A 25900-nucleotide genomic window follows, 5' to 3' on the forward strand; every position below is an offset into this window, starting at 1 on the left:
TGCCAGGTTTGGTATTCTTGGTCGGCAGGGTTTGTTTGTTTTTAAAAAGCACTTTGAATATATCATTGCACTCCCTTATTGCCTGCAAGGTTTCTGCTGGAAAATCTGCCTTTAGTCTTATAAACATTCTCTTGTACATAAGTTGCTTTTTTCTTGCTGCTTTCAAAATTTGCTCTTTTACTTTGGCAGTTTGATTATATGTCTCACTGTGGATTTCTTTGGATTCATCTTATTTGGGAGTACTTTGGGCTTCCTGGATGTGGATGTCTGTTTCTTTCTCCAGATTTGGGAAGTTTTCGGCCATTATTTCTTTTAATAAATTTTCTGACACTTTTTCTCCTTTCTCCTTTGGAACTTTAGTAATGTGTATATTGTCCCATAGTGCCTTAAACTTTCTTTACTATTTTTCATTCTTTGTGTTCTTCTGATTGAATAGTAATTTCAATGACCTTTGAATTTGCTTATTCTTTCTTCTCTTTGATCTAGTCTGCTGTTGAACACCTTTAAAGAATTTTTCAATTCAGTAATTGTATTCTTCAGCTCCATGATTTCTGTTTGGCACTTTTTAAATATTGTCTACCTCTTTGATGAAATTATTACTTTGTCATGCATTACTTTCCTGACCTTGGTGTGAACATCTTTATGATGATGATTTTGAATTCTCTGTGAGCTAAATCATATATCTCAATTTCATTTAGGCCAGTTTCTGGAGATTTATTTTGTTCTTTGGAACATATTTCTTTGTTCATTTTCCTTGACTCTCTTTGTATCTGCACATTTCTGCCTACAGCTACCTCTTCCAGTTCTCATGGACTGGCCTCATACAGGAGAAGACCCTTACTAATCAGCCCAGCCAGAGATTCAGGGCCTCTCAAACCTTCTTGCTAGTCCAACTCACTTTCTTTCTAGTGGCTTCCAAGCATCTAGAGTATCCTGGGTCCTATCAGTGCTCTGAGTCAAGTTCCTTGGTTAGCCCCCAGAAAAGTTAGGTCATTGGATACTCCTCTACACTCCTTCCTGCCCCAAGTAGAAGGCGGGATTTGGGGCTTTTCCAGCTCTTCACTCTCTACTGAGACAAGTGAAGGGGTTCTGGCAACTAGTCGCATGCAACATCATCTACCTTCTTTGTTCTCATTGGCCCTCAGATGGCTAAGACATGCTAGGTCCCATTAGGAGGAGATATGGTGACTACCAACCCAAATCACCATTTATGTTCTTTCCCAGGTAGCTAGAGTTTGCTGGGTCCCATCAGCACTCCAAGACTGCAAGACAGAAATCAGTCATCTAGGCAACCCCTGGAAAAGTTGGGATGTTTGACATATGGTCTAACTCTTTCCTTCCCCAGGGAGAAGCTGGGATCTTATGGTTTTCTTCCCAGTTGTACAGCTCTGTGCCAGGGGTAGGATTCTGGTGAGAGTGTGTCTCATATTTCCCTATCAGCTTCAAAGTGTCTGGTTTCATGCTCATCCTCAGTGCAGGAGCCTCTCAACTAGTTTCTCAATTTCTCACAAAGAGAATTTGTTAATTGTTGAATCAGTGTGTTCATGGGAGAAGGAGGGTTTAGGGCTTCCTATTCTGCCATCTTGCTGATGTCACTTCTCCTCAAGCAGTCTTCTTAAGCCTTCTTTAGTTCTAATTCAGTTCAACCACATGTGCCATGGAAGGTACTCTAATCCATCAAATATTTCTTTGTCATCAAGGGAGATATGAAAGTGCTGCTACATTAGAGTATAACATGGAGAATTTTTAAATATGTTTTAGTGTGAGGAACTTTAAATTTTTACCCTTCTTTGTCACCAAGTCAAAAGACAGATAACAGTTCATATGATATTTATAACACTAATTTTCCTAATATAGAGAGTTTCTACAAATTGATTTTTAAAAATCAAAGCGAAACATAGGATAGTATTAGATAGTTCACTAAGGAAGTACAGATACCTCTTAATTTGATGAGCAGATCCTGAACTTCATTTATTTAAGAGAAGTGGACGTGAGAACTACCATGTCAGACCATTTTCTACCTTTCAGAATGATGAAAATAAATTTTCACTGTGTTAGTAAGAGTATATGGGATAAATATTCTGATTTATTCCTGGGAAGGTCATAAATTAGCACAACTTTTTCTATGTTTCCTAAGCTTTTTATCTGTGACCCAGAATAAAAAGATGTTTTTTGTTTGTTTGTTTTGTTGTTGTTTTCATTGTAACCCAATACACTGACACATATAGAACAGAAACACAAGTTTCACAAAAGATCTCTTAGCCTTATTACATATGATGTACTGGTGTTTTCTATGTTTCTTCTTCCTTTTTTTGTCTTCCTCACCCACCCACCCCCTTCTTTCTTTTGTTTTCTAGTGCTGATTGTGAACCGCTAAATACATTTCTCTAGGTTGCTATGGAGGAATCTACCACTTGAAAAACAGTGCTCCATTGATTGTATATTGGCAGCGTTTTGGATACCCCTGGTGTCCCACCTCATAGCCTCTTGGCCCATGTTTGTACTCAAACTATTGCTGCAGCATCTAGCTGCACATGGATGTGATTCTGACAGCACTTTCCCTCAGCCACATCACATACACATCTTTCTCACTTTCTGTACTGAGGCTTCACTGCTACACCACATGAGATACCTGCAGCTCAGCAATTCTGAACCTGTGCAAACCTGGCAGTGAAAGAGAGTTCACATCCCTGAGGGCAAGCCTTGACCAATGGGAGATGAGAGCCAGTGGTTAATATTTCATTGTTCTGTCTGTTGGATGGATAATTCAAAGTATGTCCTTCATAGCTCTTCAGGAGGTCCCCAACAAGATTGAGTCCCAGTTGCCTACAATAGTGAATTCTATATTAGTGTTTTTCGAACTTTAATGTATCTACAAAACACTTGGGGGTCTTGTTTAAATGCAGATTCTAATTCAGTAAGTCAAGGGAGGATACAGAGATTGTGTATTTCTAACAGGCTCTGGCTAGCTGATGCCACTTTGAATAGCAGAGAGCTAGAAAATACACCCTTGAATTGGCTTTTCTTCCTTTCTTCCCTATTGCACTCTTCCAGCACCTCAGATCCCCCAGGATCACTTCACAAATAAACTGCATATAAGCCTGTTTCTCAGGCTCAATTTTTAGGCAGAACCCAGGTTAAGAGAAGTAGTATTGACCCAGCAATTCTACTTCTAGAAATGTATCTTGTAGATATTTTCACATATTTGTGAAATAATGTTATATACAAGGTAAGTCATTACGACATCATAGCAAAACTGGAAACAATGTAAATGTCTTTAAGTAGAGGACTGGTTAAATGACTTGTGATATATCTATATTATGGACTATGACATGGCTATTAAAACAAATATATATATATACACTGGTAAGAAAAATATTCAAGATGTGTGCTAAGTGTAAAAGGCAAGATACAGGGCCAGGCGCGGTGGCTCATGCCTGTAATCCCAGCACTTTGGGAGGCCAAGTCAGGCAGATCACGAGGTCAGGAGATCGAGACCATCCTGGCTAACACGGTGAAACCCCGTCTCTACTAAAAAATACAAAAAATTATCCGGGTGTGGTGGCAGGCACCTGTAATCCCAGCTACTTGGGAGGCTGAGGCAGGAGAATGGCGTGAACCCGGGAGGCGGAGCTTGCAGTGAGCCGAGATCACGCCACTGCACTCCAGCCTGGGCAACAGAGAGAGATTCTGTCTCAAAAAAAAAAAAAAAAAAAAAAAAAAAAAGGCAAGATACAGAGTACTGTGCATATTAATGCCTTCATTTGTATAAAATAAGAAAATTACATATATGTTTTGTTTGTATATGCATAAAATAACTGGAAAGATAAGGGAAAAAATAATATTGGTTGTAAAATGGATGGTTTGGGGACAGGAAGGAGAGGAAGACTTTTCCTAGAATGTCCTTTATACATTTGAAAATTTTTTTTTTTTTAGCAATAGCAAGGTTTATTGTTTATTGTGAAGAGCGAAAGGACAAAGCTTCCACAGTGTGGAAGGGGACCCGAGCAGATTGCCCTACATTTGAAATTTTTAAACTGTCGTTGTGTTAACTGTTGAATTAAAATTTAAGTGTTTGGTCTGAAAGTATTACTTCTGTTTCTTTGAATCTCGAGGTACTCTAACATTTAATGTTTATCATATATTCAGATGAGTATGGAATAAGATCATGTATCATCTATGTTATTTAACTATGTCCATATTGTAGTTTTCCAAGCTAAATTATGACAATTATACTCTATATCTGTGGTTTTTAAAAAAATGCTACTGTCAGAGCACATCACATTATGTATATAGTAAGCACTTTGTAGATACCTGCCAAATTTATTTAAATACCTTACATTTGGCTTCCCTACCAGAGCAGTGCCTGCAGTAGAACAAATTGAGCTTATTGTCTAAAACTCTTAGTAATTGTACAGTTACTCAGGAAGTCACTGGAAGAGGAAACGACAATGGTCCTAAAAATTAGACGAATTATAGCAAAGTATGACTTTTTAAAATTTTACTCAAAGCAGTGGGAGAATATAATACATTTTTAAAGGATTATTGGCTGGATGCAGTGGCTCACACTTGTAATCCCAGCACTTTGGGAGGCCGAGGTGGGAGGATCAGTTGAAGCCAAGAGTTCAAGACCAGCCTGGATAACATGGCAAGACTCCATCCCTACAAAATTTTTTAGAGCTGGGCGTGGTAGCTCACACCTGTAATCCCAGCATTTTGGGAGGCCAAGGCGGGTGGATCACTTGAAGCCAGGAGTTTCAGACCAACCTGACCAACATGGTGAAACCCCATCTCTACTAAAAATACAAAAAATTAGCTGGGCATGGTGGCGTGCACCTGTAATACCAGCTATTTGCATGACTGAGGCACAAAAATTGCTTGAACTGGGGAGGTGGAGGTTACAGTGAGCCGAGATTGCACCACTGCACCCCAGCCTGGGTGACAGAGCGAGACCCCGTTACGGCGAGCTGAGATCGCACCACTGCACTCCTGCCTGGGTGACAGAGCAAGACCCTGTTTCACATGGCGGGGTCTTGCTCTGTCCCCCAGGCTGGAGTGCAGTGGTGCGATCTTGGCTCACTGCAAGCTCTGCCTCCCGGGTTCATGCCATCCTTCTACCTCAGCTTCCCAAGTAGCTGGGACTACAGGTGCCCGCCACCACGCCCAGCTAATTTTTTATATTTTTGTAGTTTCACCGTGTTGACCAGGATGGTCTCAATCTCCTGACCTTGTGATCTGCCCACCTCAGCCTCCCAAAGTGCTGGGATTACAGGTGTGAGCCACCTCACCTGGCCAGTACTTTTTTTAAAAAAAATTAGCTGGGTGTGGTAGCATGCACCTGTGGTTTCAGCTACTTGAAAGGCTGAAGCAGGAGAATCACTTGATCTCAGGAGTTTGAGGCTGCAGTGAGCCATGTTCAAGCCACTACATTCCAGCCTGGGTGACAGAGCAAGACTTGTGTCAAAAAAAAAAAAAAAAGAATTATTAGTAAATGGTTAAAATTTTTAGTTTTGAAGTTGAAAGATTAAACTTGTTATCTTAGAGATTGACTGATAGACTCTGTCACCAATCATATTAAAAGATCAGCAAATAAATTTTAGTGTCTACTATGACCCAGTTTTATACTAGGCCCTGAGGATACATTGGTGAGCTAAAACAGAGGTAGTTTTACACTCATTGAACATACAGCCCAGTGAGGGAGACAGACATTAAATAGTAATGTTCATGTTTGATTAATTACAAATGAATTAAATGCTCTAACAAAAAGCAACAGATTTTCTTATAGTGTGTATAAAAGAAATCTGATGTAGATATATGGTATCAGGGAAGATGTAGTGCTTCTGGACCTAAAAAAAAAAAAAACAGAGGCTGTGCAGAGTCCACATCATGCTGTCCATGTTAGGTATTTCAGTCATTTCCAGATTTATCAATGATCTATTGCTGTGTAACAAACCACACCCAAACTTGGCAGCTTAAAACAACTCCACAATTCTGTGAGTTCACTGGGTGATTCTTCTGCTGGTCTTGCCTGTGGCGGCTGCATTCAGCTGGGGGCTGAGCTGGGGGGCTGGTCTTCCCTATTAGGCCTCTTTGGTCTGGTGGTCCCAGGATTCTCAGAAGGTAGACTGAAGCTGCAAGGCTTCTTGAGGCCTAGGCTCTAGAACTTGCACATCACCACTGTTGGTTAAGGCAAGTGAGAAGGCTAGTAGTCTAGATTCAAGACTGAGGAGATAGATTCCACCTCTTGGTGGATGGAATTTGTGGCCATATTTTTCAATTTACCAGTCTATCAAGTAACTAATTAATAAATAGTTATTTACTAAGCATTGTTTTAAGAACTGGAAATCAAACATGAATAAGAGACAGTAATATATAAGTTGCCTTTTTTCCTTTTCTGTGGAGTACATGGTATTTGCTCATTGTCATTCCATTTTCCATAGAGATCAATATTTGTGAATGTTTTTTTCCATAGTAATGAATGATGAAATGAATAAAATATAAACAGTAGAGTCTTAACCTAATTAGAGAAGAGGAGGAAAATCCCTGGGGATTATAAGTAATTTTTAGTCTTTCCAAATTTGCATAAAGAAACATATTTTGTAGTCAGAAAAGAATTAGTGCTATGCTGGTGTAGCCATGCAGTTATAAATGATATCTATAAGCACAAAAATTAATTTAGTAGTGATAATCTTAGGGAACTCAAATTTTTCTTTCTAGTTATTATCACTTTGCTATCAGGTTTATTTTAGCTACTTTTCTTTTCTTTCTTTTTTTTTTTTTTTTTTGAGATGGAGTCTTGCTCTGTCACCCAGGCCGGAGTGCAGTGGTGCGATCTCAGCTCACTGCAACCTCCGCCTCCTGAGTTCAAGCAACTCTCCTCCCTCAGCCTCCCGAGTAGCTGAGATTACAGGCATGCACCACCATGCCTGACTAATTTTTGTATTTTTAGTAGAAGTGGGTTTTCACCATGTTGGCCAGGCTGAGCTTGAACTCCTAACCTCAAGTGATCCACCCGCCTCAGCCTCCCAAAGTACTGGGATTATAGGAATGAGCCACTGTACCCCACCTCTTTTAGCTACCTTTTAAAGGTGGTTTCTTCCTAGCTCAAACTTTACCCTTTTGAATAATTCTGAATTAATGAATAAACATTATATGTAAAACTAATAACAAAGACATTAGCTACCTGGAATTTTGTTTTTGCAGGAAACATCCCATAACAACAAAAGTATTTGATTTGCTTAGAGAGTTATTTTATTAGCAGTAATAGCATCTAACTTTCCAATTTTTTTTTAAATCTAAGAATGATAAGAATGCTGCTTTTCTTCTGATGGAAAGTGACAGGCTAATCATCAGTTTACCCAGAGTGAAGTGGACGGAAGCAGCACTGACCATGGCGTCTCAGCTTCAAGAAAAATGTATTGCATTTATTGTAGACAACTTCTCCAAGATTATTCAGAGTGAAAATTTTGCTCTTCTTTTACAGGTACTATGCCTAAATTATATCCTATATTTAGTTCCATCTTTGTGTTCTGATTTCAATTATGTAAGAGCTTTTAAATGCAGGTTGCTTTTGATTAAATTAATGTGATTTAAATAAACTCCATAGCAGATGGCATGTTTACATAGGATTTAAGGCAGTGATGGACAGGATATTTGGCTCACAAGATGAGAAAGGCGAGAGGGACAGGTTTGAGTGCCCTGGCAAGGCACAGTGTAATTCTGGCCAACTCTAGCCCTCCCTCAGCAAGCCACATTTTAGAAACCAAAGTCATAAAGGTACTGTTTTGGCCAGTAATACAATTATGATCCATGCAGAATTCTCTGTCTTATTGGGAAGCTACTTTCTCTAAAATTATTCACAGAATAACTCCTATTGTTTATTTCTAGGTTCTGTATTTAGGGCTATGTTGGCTTTTAAAAACTGTGTGTCCAACATGGCACATGTATACATATGTAACAAACCTGCACGTTGTGCATATGCACCCTAGAACTTAAAGTATAATAAAAATAAATAAATAAAAATAAAAGCTGCGTGCATATGCATATATGCGAATTTTTTAACAAAGGGAAAAAATACGATTTCTGGTTGACTTCATACAGCTAGTTATAATGATCTGTTACGCCAGACTTTCACATTTCTTGTGCATTTTATATGTATTCCTCTTAAATATTAATTTCTGTGTTTTATAGTCACAAGCAATGAGCAGCACAGCCGATCTGTTGGACACAATTTTAAAAGCAATTGAAGAAAATATCACCACTGAAAATAGCTGCTCTCTTCTTATGGCTCTGGACACACTGCTGAACTCTGACAGTACAAAGGAAATGGTACTGAATGTAATGAAATTTATTAAAATAATGCAATATTTGAACTAAGATTTTTAGATGTATGTGCATTTTAAATGTTGCAGGGTCATTGAAGCTAGGCAGTGGATACCTAGGGGTGGATTAAGGTCTCTACTTTTGTATATGTTTGGAATTTTTTATAATACTAAATTTTAAAAATTCCGTTTGTCTCCAAATGGACTTCTTATAAAAGTTTAGAAATTGGCAGTTTGGCTGGGTAATTTTAAATTTAGTGTGATATTTAGCAACATTATTTGGCACAGCATAACTCTCGTATTTCTCCCTGGTCCTACAGTAAATTTTCTAGATATAAAATGTATATTTTAGATATAAATGTATATTTTAGAGTTTTTAATCATCAGTGTCTTTTATTTTTATAATCTTAATTTTTCTCTTCAAAAAATCATATTTTAAAATTAGGCTGGGAAGCAAAATTAAAATATTTATTTTTAAATACAATTAATCAGTGGCCATTAATTAGGTAATTACAAATTATTGGCATTCTGTATTTGTTCGACAAGAATGGTTTTTAAAATGTATCATATTTATTACTATTCCATAGAGCATTTGACCTTGTAATGTCATAGTTGATATGAAAAGGCTGTGGAAGGTGTTCATATCAAGGGCATTGGTGTTTTAAAATAACATTTGGTTGAAAAGATGAGATTTTTTAGCTTTGTGTTCATTTATAAAATTTTGTTATTAATAAGTCTTCATAAATAACATGTACCCAACGATCTTAAAAATCTAAATGATGACATCATTGATCTAGCTTAGGAGTAAGTAGATTCTGAAAGGAATAATGACTGGTTGCTATGACAATGTGGCTCTCACCAGCTGCTGATTTGTTGCTTGAACACAGGGTTTTACGTGCAAGATCCAGGCTCTGCGTGATAAGCTGTGGATCTTCCTGGTTCAGTCTTTCTATGCTGTTCGTCACACAGAAAGCTGGAAGCTGATGAGCACAGATGATCAACAGAAAATCCAAGCAGGTACGTTAGCCTTGAGATATTTCAATTCTTATGTAATGATCATTGTGACAGCAGATATTTTGAGGGCATTCTGATAAGTGAAAAGGTTAACATTTGTGTGCTTCTGTTGGATAATAGGATAACTGAAACTGGTGCTCATATGTTTAGGCAGTTTTAATAAATCATGCTTTTTAGCTGTTCTTAGAAAATGAAACTCATTTCCTTTATATATATATATGTTTCTAATCTTACTATACATTAGCAACAATGTTCTAGGCAAATTTGCTTACAAGCATTCTTGTGAAGAGATTAAAAGTGTAAGAAAATGTAACCCACATAGAACAGAGTATCGAACATACTTTTTCCTCCTTTTTAAATATGTTTTGTCATAAAGCTTTTCCATCTTTTTCATAAGACACCCTTTCTTGTGGTTTTGCCTGGAATAGATGGCTTTATTTCACAACTGATTGGTTCAATGATGTGGAGTGTGCTATTGCGGACTGTCCCTCAGGAGCTGCACAGTGGTCTGTGACATTTAATAGGTATCATCTGAAACATTAGCATTAAACAAAAGATGTATATTGCTCAGAACATGTGTTTAAAAAAAATATCAAAATAAAAATTTGAGGGTGTGGAACTGAAAATGTCTTCATGACTATTTTTGGGTTAAAGCAGGTGCCTTAGATAAAATATTGGCATATTCAGTGTGTATACTTTTTAAAACATTTTAAGAGACTGAATTTTATGAAGCAAACATTTTAGTACTGTAAACATGGAAGCCATGTCTGTTAAAATATATTTTGAGAATGCATAAATATTTAAATTCTTTAGTGGTATCATCAGAATAGGATCTGCTTTTACATTATAAGCATTACATGATAGTGTAGCTAGATGTGATATGAAGAGCACTTTTCAAAGAAATTCCATTATTTTAAACAAAAATTATGAGAAGAATCTCTTAGAAATTGGACATTTTTTTCCTTGTGACTATTTCTGTGCTGATTTTTAAATGATGGTTTATTTTTACAAAATTTATGTAATGTAAAGTAACAAGATAAGATCAGCATTCCTTCAGTAGGTGTCTTCAGCTCTCTTCCGATTAGTAGCAAACTTTGGTTTTCTCTATTTTAGAGGATTTCATAGTTAAGTTGAGCTTCTGTGTTCTTTAATTCTTCAAAGTGCTAATTAAAAATACATGTAAATACCCATATTTAAATAAAATGTTATTGGTAATCCAACTATCCAGCTAATCCAACAATCCTTTTTGAATTGTCAAAAAGGACTTTTCGTTCTGTTACATTATATCAGTGTAATAATAATGTTTTAATCTTAAATAAGTTGAATTATAATGAGTTCTGACTTATGCATAATTACTTCATTGGGAAACCCAGATAAAGGAATGGTTCTGGGTTGTCTGTTACTACATTTCGTATGTCATAGTTGAGTTACTGACCTTTGGGAGAAATTTTTTAGTTTAATTTCTTCCTGTGTATTATTGTGCAGAGTCATTTGCTTACTGCAAATCAGTCCTATAGTGCCATTTTCAGGATCCTGCTTTGTCTTATAGCACATATCCTATAGAATAGAGATCATGGAAGATGCATGGTAGTTACAGATAATTTAATGTATTTTTTATTAGCTGATTTAATAAAAATCAAATAATTTTCAGAGATTGTATATATTTCTTCAAAATATGTCTTAAATCCCAGTAACCTTCAAAAGAAATACATTTGCTAAACTATATTTGTAGCTCTCATATAATTATTCCAGCCTACATATTTTCCTGACATTCAAATTCTTATTTGAAGAGCATAGACATGAGTTCTGCAATAAATTCCCATATAAACCTAACTTATAAAATGAATTTTTATTTAATTATAAAAAGAATATTTTGAAGATTCTTATTTTATTTTCAGTAGAACCTTATTTTTTTATTTTCTCTTTCCTCCTTCCTCATTATATATCTGCAAAACCAGAAAATATTTTTAATTTCAAGAGTATTTTTACATTTAGTATAAACATTTTCTCATATTTAATAGCTTGTAGAATGTTACATTTGCTATAATCTGTAATTTTTTGTAATTTGGAGAACTAAATGAAACCAATTATCTAAAATGTCACAGTTTGAGAAAATTCTCATGTTTTTCTAAATGTATGAATCTTCTCTGTGAGATTGTACAGTTCTTATTTATTAATTTTAATAACATAAAACCTAGGGGCCAGAGAATAAGATAGAAAATGAGGTTCTTTTAAAAAAATTCTAAAATATAATAGGGAGTTGTTTTGTATACTAGATTGGTTTCAGGTTTATTAAGTTATTTCCATCAAAATATAACCTTTTTTCTACTGACATACTATTTTTCCTTTACTTCTAAGGTAATAATAATGTTCCTTATAAAAACAAATTGCTGTTTCTTTCTACAGCTGCATTTGACAAAGGTGATGATCGAAGACTTGGCAAAAAGCCTATATTCAGTAGCTCGCAGGTAAACTTTCTAAATTTTATAGGTACAAATGAAAAAGATAACAAATTATTTAAAGCTTATTATTTTATATTTCAGAAAAAGTTTTAAAAATCTATTCATTAATTGAAGCTATTTCTTAATGGAAAATTTTTCTTTTTCTAAATCAAGTGAACATTTAATAAATGTTTTAAAGTGAATTTTTTATATCCAGTTGGCACTGGAAGTATCTACCTTTTTCATTTCCTTGAAAACCTTTTTGGCAGCTAACGTATTAGAGCTATTTCAGTCTATTAGAAGTTGTTTAGAACTCTAGACCTAATTCAATGTCTGTTTTTCTAATTAGCCTACTTCTTAAAAAAGAAGATTTTAGGCTAGGCATGGTGGCTCACGCCTGTAATCCCAGCACTTTGGGAGGCCGAGGCGGATGGATCACCTGAGGTCAGGAGTTCGAGAGCAGCCAGGCCAACATGGTGAAACCCCATCTTTACTAAATACACAAAAATTAGCCAGGCATGGTGGTGCACACCTGTAATCCCAGCTACTCGGGAGGCTGAGGGAGGAGAATTGCTTGTACCCGGGAGGCAGAGGTTGCAGTGTGATGAGATTGCACCATTGCACTCCAGCCTGGGTGACAAGAGCGAAACTCCATCTCAAACAAAAAAAAAGATTTTAATTCACATAATGTATTTTTGGTGTTTTTGAAAAAAGCAATTAGTACTAAGAGTACAACTGTGTTTTACTTTAAAAGTTACTTGGTATACTTTTATGAGGTATCTAAAGTAGTTGAATTCTTAGAAGGTAGTATTGTGGTTGCTGAAAACTAGAGGGAGGGAGAAAGGGGGAGTTGTTCAATGAGTACAGAGTTTCCATTTTGCAAGATGAAAAGTTTTCTGTTGTGCAACGAAGTGCATGCAGCTAACATTACTACACTGTTACTGAAGTGTATTAAAGAGTACTTAAGTGTATTAAATGGTTAAGATGGTAGATTTCATGTTTTGTGTGTTGTTTGTTTGTTTTTGACCACCCACAAGGTTATTTGGTGTTTTTCTTATAACCTGAAATAAATTTGTCTTCCCAAAAATGTTATTAATTATGGTTAGGGTTCCTAGCTGACTTACAGATGTTCACTTAACCAATAATATATTCAAAGTACAAAATTATTCTAACCTCTGTGTGGTACAATGATAGACATACATTGAGAGTTCCAGTTTGGAATGCAATGAACGTATTGCCCTAGCAGAGTGGAATAGGAAATCCTTTTTTCTTCCTCATCAGCCAGTTGATAGGAACTAATGCAGCTCCAAGCCACAACTGAGAGTTGTCATGGCTTGAGGAAGAGGTCAAGCTCCAAATGTCTTGAGTGAGAAACTGGGAGACTGGAGTTTTTGCCAATTAACCTCTTAGGATTGTTTCCAAAGTGGGTTTCACAAGATACGAGCTCCATCTAGCATCAACTATAAGTTGGAGAGTAGCTACACACCATAGCTCCTCTTTTTATTTTTTGAGACGGAGTTTCGCTCTTGTTGCCCAGGCTGGAGTGCAATGGCATGATCTCGGCTCACCACAACCTCCGCCTCCCAGGTTCAAGCAGTTCTCCTCCCTCAGCCTCCCAAATAGCTGGGATTACAGGAATGTGCCACCATGCCTGCCTAATTTTGTATTTTTAGTAGAGATGGGGTTTCTCCATGTTGTTCAGGCTGGTCTCGAACTCCCGACCTCAGGTGATCTGCCCGCCTCGGCCTCCCAAAGTCCTGGGATTGCAGGCGTGAGCCACCACGCCCAACCCCATAGCAACTCTTTATAGACCGACGATGCATATTATACCTTGAAAGTGCTGAGAAACACTAAAGAATACTTTTGAATTGTTGCATCCAAAATTTTCCCCAATGTTATAGCTATGGAATACGACTAGGGTCCCGACAACCCTTTTAAAGCATATTATACGATTCCACAGAACATACTCTAGGAAATGGTGCACTAGGACATTTTTTTCTGTGTTCCCTGTTATCCCCGTGTTTTTTAAAGGCCCCCAGGAATTAGCCTACTTGCCTTCCTATCCCCTGCTACTCACCAGGCTTTTCTGCCTTCCTTGCCTTACTGCAGAATAGAACAAAGTTTCATTATTTTTCCTCATCCTCCTGACTTTGTGGTTGTCTAAGTCTTTTTTCTGTTAAGAACAATGGGAAGGAAGGAAGTTTCCCCCAGAAAGACAGTGATATGCTGAAATGGATGCTGGACACAAAATCAAAAGAGTTCAAATTTTGGCTTTGCATTTATTATGTGTCATCTGTGAGTCTTAGTTTGCTTATTTATAAAATGGAGTAATAAAACCTAGCAGGATTATTGTGAAAATTAGGTGAAATAATTTATGTGCAATTATCTGGTATGTAGTAAGTGCTCAATAAATGTGGAGCAAATAAATGTGTTTTCCAAACAGGGATGAGCTATCTAGGAGGTGGGAGAAAGTTAATCAGATAAGACAGGGAAAGAGGTTTTTTGTTTGTTTGTTTTGTTGTGGTGGTGGTTGTTGTTGCCTGCTTCATTTTTCCTTCATAGAGCGATTTAAGAAGAATGCTTAGTACCAAAATACTTAAGGATAAAATATATGATATCTGGGATTTGCTTCAAAATAAAATGGGGGTGGGTGTGTATGAAATAAAATTGGAATTAATAATGAATTAATAATTTTTAGAGCTGGCTATTAGGTACGTGAGGATTCATTATACTCTTCTGTCCTCTTATGATTATGTTTAATTTTTCCTATTTTTTGAGACAGGGTCTCACTCTGTCACCCAGGCTGGAGTGGAGTGACACAATCACAACTCACTGCAGCCCTGACCTTCTGGGCTCAAGGGATCCTTCCACCTCTGCTTCCTGAATAGCAGGCATAGGCCCAAGCTACCATGCCTGGCTAATGTTTGTATTTTTTTTTGTAGAGGCGGGGTTTTGCCATGTTGCCTAGGCTGGTCTCAAACTCCTGGGCTCAAGCAATCCGCACCTGGCCTATTGTGAAATTTTTCAAGGCATACAGCTATACCATATACTATATAGATTTCACCCATAGCGTAATACTTCAAGATGCATAAATTCAAGGATAGAATAAATTAAGTAGATTCAGTGTTAAGGGTGGGAAGGAGTTCTAAAAGCAGAAGTCAGCCTGGTTTTAGGTATTAAAAATAGAGAAATGTTTTTTTTTTGAGCTAAGATTTGAGCAAGAAAACAAAAAATGAGGACCAAGCCTATCTGAACGTTTTAAATGTTAGAATCCTAGAAGACTGCTGTGAATAGGACCAGTCTCTACGCTGTGGACAGGCATAAGCTGAGACCCAAAGCTGTTAATAATTTCTGAAATGTCCCAGGCTGGTTAGAAGCAAAACTAGGACAAGAATCTAGTGGTTGTTTTATCACCGTGCTTTCCTTTTTTCTAAATTTAACCAAGTTATTTATTGTGTATTTTTTTGTGTGCACCCACATTCATATATGTTATTTTATCTTTGACAGCTTTTAATGTAATTGGAAGCTTTTCATATTTAAAAATAGACCTTAAACTGCATATCAAAATATGCAATATATGCCCAGCATTAACAACATTGATTACGTTTTTTGTTTGTTTGTTTTTTGAGTATCCAATATGTGACATGGTGCCGAGGGATACAAAAGATGAAGAGAGCACAGGCTCTGCCTCAGACCTCTACAATCTCATACAGCTTCCAAAGGAAAAAAAAAACCGTTTGCATACTTACATAAAGAATGACAATAGGACGGGCGCGGTGGCTCACACCTGTAATCCCAGCACTTTAGGAGGCTGAGGTGGGTGGATCACGAGGTCAAGAGATCAAGACCATCCTGGCCAACATGGTGAAACCCCGTCTCTACTAAAAATACAAAAATTAGCTGGGCATGGTGGCGCATGCCTGTAGTCCCAGCTACTCGGGAGGCTGAGGCAGGGGAATTGCTTGAACCTGGGAGGCGGAGGTTGCAGTGAGCTGAAATCGTGCCACTGTACTCCAGCCTGGCAACAGAGCAAGACTCCATCTCAAAAAAAAAAAAAAAAAAAAAAGAATGACAATATTGGCCGGGCACAGTGGCTCATGCCTGTGATCCTAGCACTTTGGGAGGCCGAGGCGGGTGGATTGCCTGAGCTCAGGAGTTCAAGATCAGCCTGGGCAACACGGTGAAACCCTCTCTCTACTAAAATACAAAAAAATTAGCCAAGTGTGGTGGCATGTGCCTATAGTCCCAGCTACTCAGGAGGCTGAGGCAGGAGATTGCTTGAACCCAGGAGGCAGAAGTTGCAGTGAGCCAAGACTGGGCCACTGCACTCCAGCCTGGGTGACAGAGCAAGACTCTGTCTCAAAAAAGAAAGAAAAAAGAAAGAAAAAAAAGAATGACAATATGATCTTAAAATATTATCCTAGAATTTCTACCAACTTAAAAATTTTCTTTGTTCCCTTTCATATCAAGGTTGGTTCTAAGGAAAATGATGAAGTAGGTATGTTTATCTTCAGTGCCATTTTATTTGTCCCTTTTTAGCCTATTTCAGCTATTTTTAGGATCCCTTTTCCTTCGCTTCCTATAGCCAGCCAGTGCTATACTAGTATCTTATTTGTCCAAAAACCAAGCTTTGCAGATGTAGTGTATTGATGTGCTGTGCTTCCTAGGAGCTTTTAAAAAAAAATTTTTTTAAATAAGGACTCCAAGAAGTAAAGGATTCTTCCCACAGAGGATTAAGTCTTTAATGATAAAATTTCTGGCACTTGGAATAAGGTTGAAGAGAGAATTTTTATTGAAAATCTTTATAATGTCCCTCAAATTATGCTATATAGATGACTTCGGTGTGAGGTTAAAAAATGAGCTCAAGTCCTGATTCCATCCCTCATCAGCCTGAGACCTGGGGTAAATCACATACCTACTTTAATCCTCAATTTCTTGTCTAAGAAATAGAAACAGCCACAGGAGCTAGTTCATGGGACTGTTGTGAGGATTAAGTGGGATGATGTATACAAAAGATGTAGTATAAAACATGGGAGTAAGCCTTCTAAAAAATCATGGATATTATCATTCCTCAGGGCATCCTGAATCTTTATAGACATTAATCTCTATCAAAACTTCATACATTAAAAAAGCCTTCCTTTTATTTATTTATTTACTTTAATAGATAGAATAGCATGCCTTTAAAATAAACACTTATGCTGTATTTCAGATTTGATTACGGTAATCTAAGACAAAGTTTTGATCCAAATGATCAAAGACAGTTCAAGCTTTGACCTTAAATCATAATATGAACTTTTCTATTTTTTTTCTTTGAAAGACTGGCTTTTGGAAACATAAAATATTATATGTTAAAGATTTCAGTCAAATTACAAAGTATTTTTTTTCTTTTTTATAGCAAAGGAAACAAGTTTCTGACTCTGGTGATATAAAAATCAAATCTTGGAGGGGAAATAACAAGAAAGAGTGTTGGAGTTATCTCTCTACTAATAAAAAGATGAAATCTGATGGATTAGGAGCATCTGGACATTCGTCAAGTACCAATAGAAATAGTATAAATAAAACTCTGAAGCAAGATGATGTAAAGGAAAAAGATGGTACAAAAATAGCATCTAAGATTACAAAAGAACTAAAAACTGGGGGAAAAAATGTTTCTGGAAAGCCCAAAACTGTAACAAAATCCAAAACAGAAAATGGTGATAAGGCACGGTTGGAAAACATGTCACCTAGACAAGTTGTAGAAAGATCAGCAACAGCAGCAGCAGCAGCAACTGGACAGAAGAATTTACTAAATGGAAAAGGAGTGAGAAATCAGGAAGGGCAAATTTCAGGTGCCAGACCCAAGGTACTCACAGGAAACTTAAATGTGCAAGCCAAAGCAAAGCCTTTGAAGAAAGCTACAGGGAAGGATTCACCATGCCTCAGCATCGCAGGACCCTCCAGCAGATCCACAGATTCAAGTATGGAATTCTCAATTTCCACTGAATGTCTGGATGAACCGAAAGAAAATGGATCAACAGAAGAAGAAAAGCCTTCTGGACATAAACTATCCTTTTGTGATTCTCCAGGACAGATGATGAAAAACAGTGTAGATAGTGTCAAAAATTCCACTGTAGGTGGGTTTTAGCACTGTAATTTTTAATATCTCCTGACAGTTAAATTTCCTTCAAAAAACAAAAACCTAAACCTGTATTTGGGCTTTTATTTAGTTTCAGATGCCAACAGAATACTTATGTATATGTACTTATGCAAACAGAGAAAATGGTAGTCCTTCCCACTTTAATATTTCATTTTGTTTATAGTGTCTAACCAGTAAACTTACACGTTTGTTACATATTTAATGTATTCTCTCTTATGACTCACTTTTTCTTAATTTATAGCCATAAAATCTCGACCTGTTTCAAGAGTTACCAATGGAACTTCCAATAAAAAAAGTATTCATGAACAAGACACTAATGTAAATAACAGGTAGGTCTTCATTCAGTGTTTTAACCTATCTGTTAGCTTTCTCTCAAAGTTAATTATATACTAACTGCTAGCTAAATATTTTTAAAATATCTTTTATTTTTTGTTAATGTATTTACATAATATTTTAACACAGTTTTTTATTTATTAAAAGAAATTAGTATATGCAAAATGATTGAGGCACAATATTTAAAAGAATATATTAATGTGTACTATGGCATATGATTATACCTTGCTTTATTATACTTGATCTACAGTTTTATAAACTTAAAAAGACTTATGAGCATATGATTTTTCTATTTTCAGGAGAGATGTATTTTTTATTTCTTGAAAAAAACTGTTTCAGGTATTGGTCTTTTAAAAAGTTCATGTTTTGGAATCTAAGTGTAATACTGAATGCAAATAATTTTTTTTAGTGTACTAAAGAAAGTCAGTGGCAAAGGATGTAGTGAGCCAGTACCACAGGCAATTTTGAAGAAAAGAGGAACTAGCAATGGATGTACTGCAGCTCAGCAGAGGACAAAGAGTACCCCATCTAATCTTACTAAAACTCAAGGTAAAGCTGAAATAGTACTGGATATCTTGAAATTATTTCCTTGTGTAAACTGGATAAGCCAAACTCTGATTTGCAACTTCAGTAGCAAATAAGCAAAATATGGTTTTACTCATTTTATGTTTGTTTCACACCATAGAGATGAGATTGTAAACTTTTACTTTTCAGACAGGTGTTTTGGGATGTAGGTTTGGTTTTTGTTGTTCTGTTGTTGTTATTGTTGAGACAGGGTCTTGCTCTGTCACCCAGGCTGGAGTACAGTGGCATGATCACACTGCAGTCCTCCTTCCTCTGCCTCCCAAAGTGCTGGGATTACAGGCATGAGTCAACACACCTGGCCTCTGTTTGGTTTTCATTGTCTTTTGTGAGAGAAATAATTAAGGGAGTCACTAATTTATCTGCATTTCTGGTCCTTTTAAATATTATGCCCATGTTTCTTGAAAGTTCCATTGATAATTATAGGAATTTCATTTGTAAAACTGGCACTAAAGAGCTCTATAAAAAGTAATAGTGCAGGCTAGGCGCGGTGGCTCACGCCTGTAATCCAAGCACTTTGGGAGGCCAAGGCGGGTGGATCACCTGAGGTCAGGAGTTCAAGACCAGCCTGACCAATATGGTGAAACCCCATCTCTACTAAAAACACAAAAATTAGCCAGGTGTGGTGGTGTGTGCTTGTTGTCCCAGCTACTTGGGAGGCTGAGACAGGAGAACTGCTTGAACCTGGGAGGCGGAGGTTGCAGTCAGCTGAGATCTTGCCTCTATACTCCAGGCTGGGCGACAGAGCGAGACTCTATCTCAAAAAAAAAAAAAAAATTGATAATGATAATAATAGTGCAGTCTAAACAACTATAATACATAAGGAGGAAGAATTTCCCTTCCAGAATCTGTGTGAGTCCATTGTTTTTCAGTGTTCTGAAAACGAAAAGAGTACTGATCAGATTGCATAATTTGCTAAAATAATAACCAATTTTCAAAATTGCTTTTATGTATCAAGCATTAACATATGTAAAAGCAGTTCTTAAAATGCTAAAAACAGTTTTGATTTAGATTATGAATTATTACTGAAAATCAATTAAAAATAAGGTAGAGAAAACATTTTCATATCCTAGTAATAACTAAATGTTAAACATTTTAAAATATTTGATAATTCTGTTTGGCAGATTTGAATGTCCAAAATATCATCTCTAAGACTTTCACCAGTATAAACAAATGGATTCCCCAAATTAATCCCCTTCTTTCCAGTCAGCAGTTTTAGTTTCCACTGGAGATCTAAGTTGTTAATCCTAATGAGCTACAGTAATAATAATCTGGTTATGACAAGTAAATTGGTTTTATTCATGTTTGAAGAAAACAACTGCAACAATTTTAACAGTTCTATTTATTTTATATTTAGCTTGATTCTCCTTTTCAGCTATGTAGAGCACACTATTTTTTTTTCTCCAAAAACTTCAAAGGGAAGACCTTTCTTGCTCCTTTGATAAAAGAAAATCCGATTTTTTCACCCTCATATATTTTTGCAAATCCAGTTTTGGCATAAAAATCAAGTCTGTTTACTTGAGGAAGAGAGATCCTATTTTAGTAATTTTTACTGGGACCCTGGAGTAGTCCCTCTATATTTTTAATTGAAAAAATTTTTTTATTTTATCATGTAACTGATTCCTAATCTGTGCTTGTCCATTTGATCATAGATATGTTACCCTTCCATTGTGTTCTTGATTTTATTTTTTCTGAAGTAATTTTAAAACAAATTACTAAATTTTACTCACAAATTGGAGGTGATATTACATTACTGAATATACCCTCTTACTTTTCTTAGGATCCCAAGGAGAGTCACCAAACTCAGTAAAATCTTCAGTCTCTTCAAGGCAGTCTGATGAAAATGTGGCAAAGTTGGACCACAATACAACTACAGAGAAACAAGCACCTAAGAGAAAAATGGTCAAGCAAGTACACACAGCTTTGCCTAAGGTTAATGCAAAAATAGTGGCAATGCCTAAAAATCTAAATCAGTCAAAGAAAGGTGAAACTTTGAATAATAAAGATTCAAAACAGAAAATGCCTCCTGGACAGGTTATATCAAAAACTCAGCCTTCCTCCCAAAGACCTTTAAAACATGAAACATCTACTGTCCAAAAAAGTATGTTTCATGATGTGCGTGATAATAACAACAAGGACAGTGTTTCTGAACAGAAGCCTCACAAACCTCTCATTAATCTTGCATCTGAAATAAGTGATGCAGAAGCACTCCAGTCATCCTGCAGGCCTGACCCACAAAAGCCATTAAACGATCAAGAAAAAGAGAAGTTGGCGTTAGAATGCCAAAATATTTCAAAGCTGGATAAATCATTAAAACACGAACTGGAATCAAAACAGATTTGTTTAGATAAAAGTGAAACAAAATTTCCCAATCACAAAGAAACAGATGATTGCGATGCAGCTAACATATGTTGTCATTCTGTTGGGAGTGATAATGTAAATTCAAAATTTTATAGCACCACAGCCCTAAAATACATGGTTTCAAATCCAAATGAAAACTCCTTGAACTCTAATCCAGTTTGTGATTTAGACTCAACAAGTGCAGGGCAAATCCATTTGATATCAGATAGGGAGAACCAAGTAGGGAGAAAAGATACAAACAAACAATCAAGTATTAAATGTGTGGAAGATGTTTCACTGTGTAATCCTGAAAGGACAAATGGTACCTTAAATTCTGCTCAAGAAGACAAAAAATCGAAAGTTCCTGTGGAAGGACTGACAATTCCTAGTAAGTTGTCAGATGAATCTGCTATGGATGAAGACAAACATGCTACAGCAGACTCAGATGTATCTTCCAAGTGTTTTTCGGGACAGCTATCAGAAAAAAATTCTCCTAAAAATATGGAAACATCAGAATCTCCAGAGAGCCATGAAACTCCAGAAACTCCATTTGTGGGTCACTGGAATTTGAGTACTGGTGTTCTGCATCAGCGAGAGAGTCCTGAATCTGACACTGGCAGTGCTACCACCTCCTCCGATGACATAAAGCCCAGATCTGAAGACTATGATGCTGGAGGGTCTCAGGATGATGATGGGTCAAATGACAGAGGTATCTCTAAATGTGGCACTATGCTGTGCCATGATTTTCTTGGAAGAAGTAGCAGTGATACCAGTACTCCTGAAGAATTAAAAATTTATGATAGTAATTTAAGAATTGAAGTAAAAATGAAAAAGCAAAGTAATAATGATCTTTTCCAAGTTAATTCAACGAGTGATGATGAAATCCCTAGGAAAAGGCCAGAAATTTGGTCTCGATCTGCAATAGTTCACTCTAGGGAAAGAGAAAATATTCCACGAGGCAGTGTCCAGTTTGCTCAGGAAATAGATCAGGTATCTTCTTCAGCAGATGAAACAGAAGATGAAAGATCTGAAGCTGAAAACGTTGCAGAAAATTTCTCTATATCTAACCCAGCTCCTCAGCAGTTTCAGGGAATAATTAATTTAGCTTTTGAAGATGCAACTGAAAATGAATGTCGTGAATTTTCTGCAACTAAAAAGTTTAAAAGGTCAGTTTTACTTTCAGTCGATGAATGTGAAGAGCTGGGATCAGATGAAGGAGAAGTCCATACTCCCTTTCAGGCTTCTGTAGATTCTTTTTCACCTTCTGATGTTTTTGATGGCATTTCTCATGAACATCATGGAAGGACCTGCTATTCCAGATTCTCACGAGAAAGTGAAGATAATATTTTAGAATGTAAACAAAATAAAGGCAATAGTGTATGTAAAAATGAAAGCACTGTCTTGGATCTTAGTAGCATTGACTCTTCAAGAAAAAATAAACAGAGTGTTTCAGCCACAGAAAAAAAGAACACAATAGACGTCCTATCCAGTAGAAGCAGACAGCTTCTTCGAGAAGATAAAAAAGTAAACAATGGAAGCAATGTGGAAAATGACATTCAGCAACGCAGCAAATTCTTGGATAGTGATGTAAAATCTCAAGAAAGACCATGTCACTTGGATCTTCATCAAAGAGAACCCAATTCTGACATACCAAAGAACAGCTCTACAAAATCTCTAGACTCCTTTCGGAGTCAAGTTCTGCCTCAGGAAGGTCCAGTGAAAGAGAGCCATTCTACAACTACTGAAAAAGCTAATATTGCTTTATCTGCAGGTAATGTACAGAAATAGAAATGCTAAATGCATAAGAAAATAAGTTTATAAAATTTTAAAGTTGTATGAAGCCCTGAATGTTATATTTTAGTCAGATAGAATAATTACTTAAGCAACAGATTAAAATTTTAAATGAAAAATGTCTTAATATGAAAATTACTCATTCTTTATTGTTCACTTAAAATCCTAATGAAGAAGTAATATCTAGTAAAAATTTTGATTGTTATATAGAGCTAACCTACTAAGAGATTTTAAATGAAAGAATAAAAAGAAAAACTTAGTTTGCTGCTATTTAGTTATTTATGTATAATTTAACACAAGAATTCTTGACTATTAGAAATTTTATTATACATTGGATATGATTTATAGACTTGATAGTATATAAGAGGCCTGTGCAATAACTCTAGTAATATGTAACTAAAAGCACTGAACTATTTTAACAACTAGATTGATTATTACAATTTATATACATTTTACAGAGATTAAAATTTTCAGGATCTGTCTATTCTAAAGTTTTCAAATAAAAAGATAAATTTCCTAAGAGATTATATTTAGAAGCAATGATAATATATGAAAAAAGCCCAGGCTTATTTCATATTGTTTAGATGATTTTCTGTCTAATTGTTTTGTGTTTTTTGTCTTCCTTATTATAGTAATTCAGACTAATGACCCACATTTAAAATATGCAATAGTGGCTGACTGAGTAGCTATTGTGTATTATAACTAAGAAAAATACTGATCAGTAGTTTCCTGTTCAGCAAAATCGGAAGAATAAGGAGGTCTTTAAAGTTGTACTTTTTCGTTTGTTTGTCCTTGCTTGCATCTTCCTTTGCATGTGCAATATACAAATAAGCCTTTAGGTGAAATGTATTTATCCCTGCCTTTTGCAACGGACTTACCCTAAAAGTCATCATCAAAACACTATGTCTTTTTTTTTTCTCTTTTTCTATTGTAGTGAATTAGATATATGTGCACATTCTATGTTTATGTTTAAATGATTTATGTTTTCTGTATCACAAGTTTTCAAATTAAAGTATGGAGAATTATTGTTAGTTGCCTATGTTGATTTTGCTTCTAAACATTACCCTTGAATTTTAAACACATAAAAATGCCTCAAAAATCTTGTCAATTTTGTATAGAAGTTATTTTTCCCATTCTGTGTTTTTTTTTTTTTTTGACTATCACTGTTATATTGTGTTAATATTCTACAAAACTCTGAGGGTACCAACGTGCAATTTTTACATTGTGTAGTATTATGAATTATTTCAGGAGACATAGATGATTGTGACACACTGGCACAAACCCGCATGTATGACCATCGGCCTTCAAAAACCCTGTCTCCAATATATGAGATGGATGTAATAGAAGCATTTGAGCAGAAAGTGGAATCAGAAACACATGTTACAGATATGGATTTTGAAGATGACCAACATTTTGCAAAACAAGATTGGACACTACTAAAGCAACTGCTCTCTGAACAGGATTCAAACTTAGATGTTACAAATTCCGTTCCTGAAGACTTAAGTTTAGCACAGTATCTAATCAATCAGACACTACTTTTAGCACGAGATAGCTCAAAACCTCAGGGTATAACACATATTGACACTTTGAACAGATGGAGTGAACTAACATCTCCACTTGATTCCTCAGCGAGCATCACCATGGCTAGTTTTTCCTCTGAAGATTGTTCGCCTCAAGGCGAGTGGACAATTCTGGAACTGGAAACTCAGCATTAAGTGTTAACATTTTGGAAAAATTTATGCCACTCCTTTATTTTTTGATGCCTATATTATATCCAAATGATAATTGCATTAGCCGGATATAAACTTTCTTTAATATTGAGTCTTTCCAATTTAATGAGGTAAACATAGTTTATTTATTAATATATCACATATAGAAAAATGTTTTTCTAAAGTTTTTGAGCATGTTTTCTCTAATTATTAGAGAAATTAGAAGACTTATAAGGAAACCCTAGCTTCAGTTTTCCTTTCCTAGCTGATGATTTGTTCACTTAATCATTATTCAAGAATTTAAAATGTGAATGCAGAAGTAGATCAGTCCCTTTACTTTTTGCTCTGCATAGGGTAACATAGTAATTTAACAATAAAAACTTACCGTGCTTGTGTCCATTCATGTAGAGTTTTCTGTGACTAACATTCAAACTCACATTTAGGTGATTGAGGCTGATAGCTGAGTGCTGGGGAAAATCTTAGCTTTCCCAACAATTCAGGCCCAGGAAATTCTGAAGCAAGTACATCTCAAATTTCAACCACATCATTACTAAAACAAGAGAAATGGAATTTCCTGTCTCTCTCTTTTGGGGATATATCCACAGAAGGGAATCTGCCCTTGTTCAAAAGCATAGACTTCCTTTACAGGTAGTCACTCATTCTCCATTTTCCATTCCATGTTAGGGATATGTTGGAACTGCACCTGCAATAAGCCAGCACTAAATATAAACTTGAAAATGAGTATATAAGGCAATTGAGTTACGGAGTTTAAATTGTGTGTATGTGTATGTATGTGCACACACACGTTTGCTTTCTTGGTGTGTCATTAGACACCAGTTCCTTATTTCCTGGATCAGATTGTCTTTCAGTCTGTAATTTTGGTAGTAAGTCAAAGATAAAAACCTTTGCTACAAAATGCTACCTGGTAGCGAGTACTTGGGTACTTTTGATATTGCCAATGGGATTATGAGATTTCATAAATAAGCCTCTCTCAAAGCTTTGTGACTCATAATTCTCTGAAATATGTCTGAAGCAAGGAAATAGTTTAGAACTCCTTTTCTAAATTAGTAAAGTCTTCAAAAAATAATATGATCTATAACTGTATTGAATACCAAGTCATATTAATGCACAATTATTTGTTCTAATAACATAGTTATGTTACGGTTAGCTGCTAACCTATTATACCATAAATTTGCTATGCCTTTTTTTAAACTAGCTCTGTGAAGAGGGGCA

The 25900-nt window shown here is 36.0% G+C and overlaps 1 protein-coding gene across 6 annotated transcripts in view; it reads left to right on the forward strand.

Moving 5' to 3' along the window:
- The window catches only part of BTBD8 (BTB domain containing 8), a 104379-nt gene extending 79313 nt beyond the window's left edge, over nucleotides 1-25066 (forward strand). For 2 of the 6 annotated variants that reach the window (XM_047418461.1, XM_047418464.1), the window contains exons 10-18: nucleotides 7301-7483; nucleotides 8191-8337; nucleotides 9209-9338; nucleotides 11742-11803; nucleotides 17172-17889; nucleotides 18154-18241; nucleotides 18655-18794; nucleotides 20608-22938; nucleotides 24207-25066. In XM_047418461.1, the coding sequence (XP_047274417.1) occupies nucleotides 7301-7483; nucleotides 8191-8337; nucleotides 9209-9338; nucleotides 11742-11803; nucleotides 17172-17889; nucleotides 18154-18241; nucleotides 18655-18794; nucleotides 20608-22938; nucleotides 24207-24673 (4266 nt within the window). In that variant the 3' untranslated portion in view covers nucleotides 24674-25066. Of the gene's footprint in view, nucleotides 1-7300; nucleotides 7484-8190; nucleotides 8338-9208; nucleotides 9339-11741; nucleotides 11804-15405; nucleotides 15593-17171; nucleotides 17890-18153; nucleotides 18242-18654; nucleotides 18795-20607; nucleotides 22939-24206 lie in introns of those variants that run through there. The other 4 variants (NM_001376131.1, XM_047418466.1, NM_015237.4 and 1 more) reach the window with 3 other exon arrangements.
- Nucleotides 25067-25900: the final 834 nt, after the last annotated feature.

Source organism: Homo sapiens, chromosome 1 (assembly GCF_000001405.40).
Source record: "Homo sapiens chromosome 1, GRCh38.p14 Primary Assembly".
In the NCBI taxonomy this organism is placed as follows: Eukaryota; Metazoa; Chordata; class Mammalia; order Primates; family Hominidae; genus Homo; species Homo sapiens.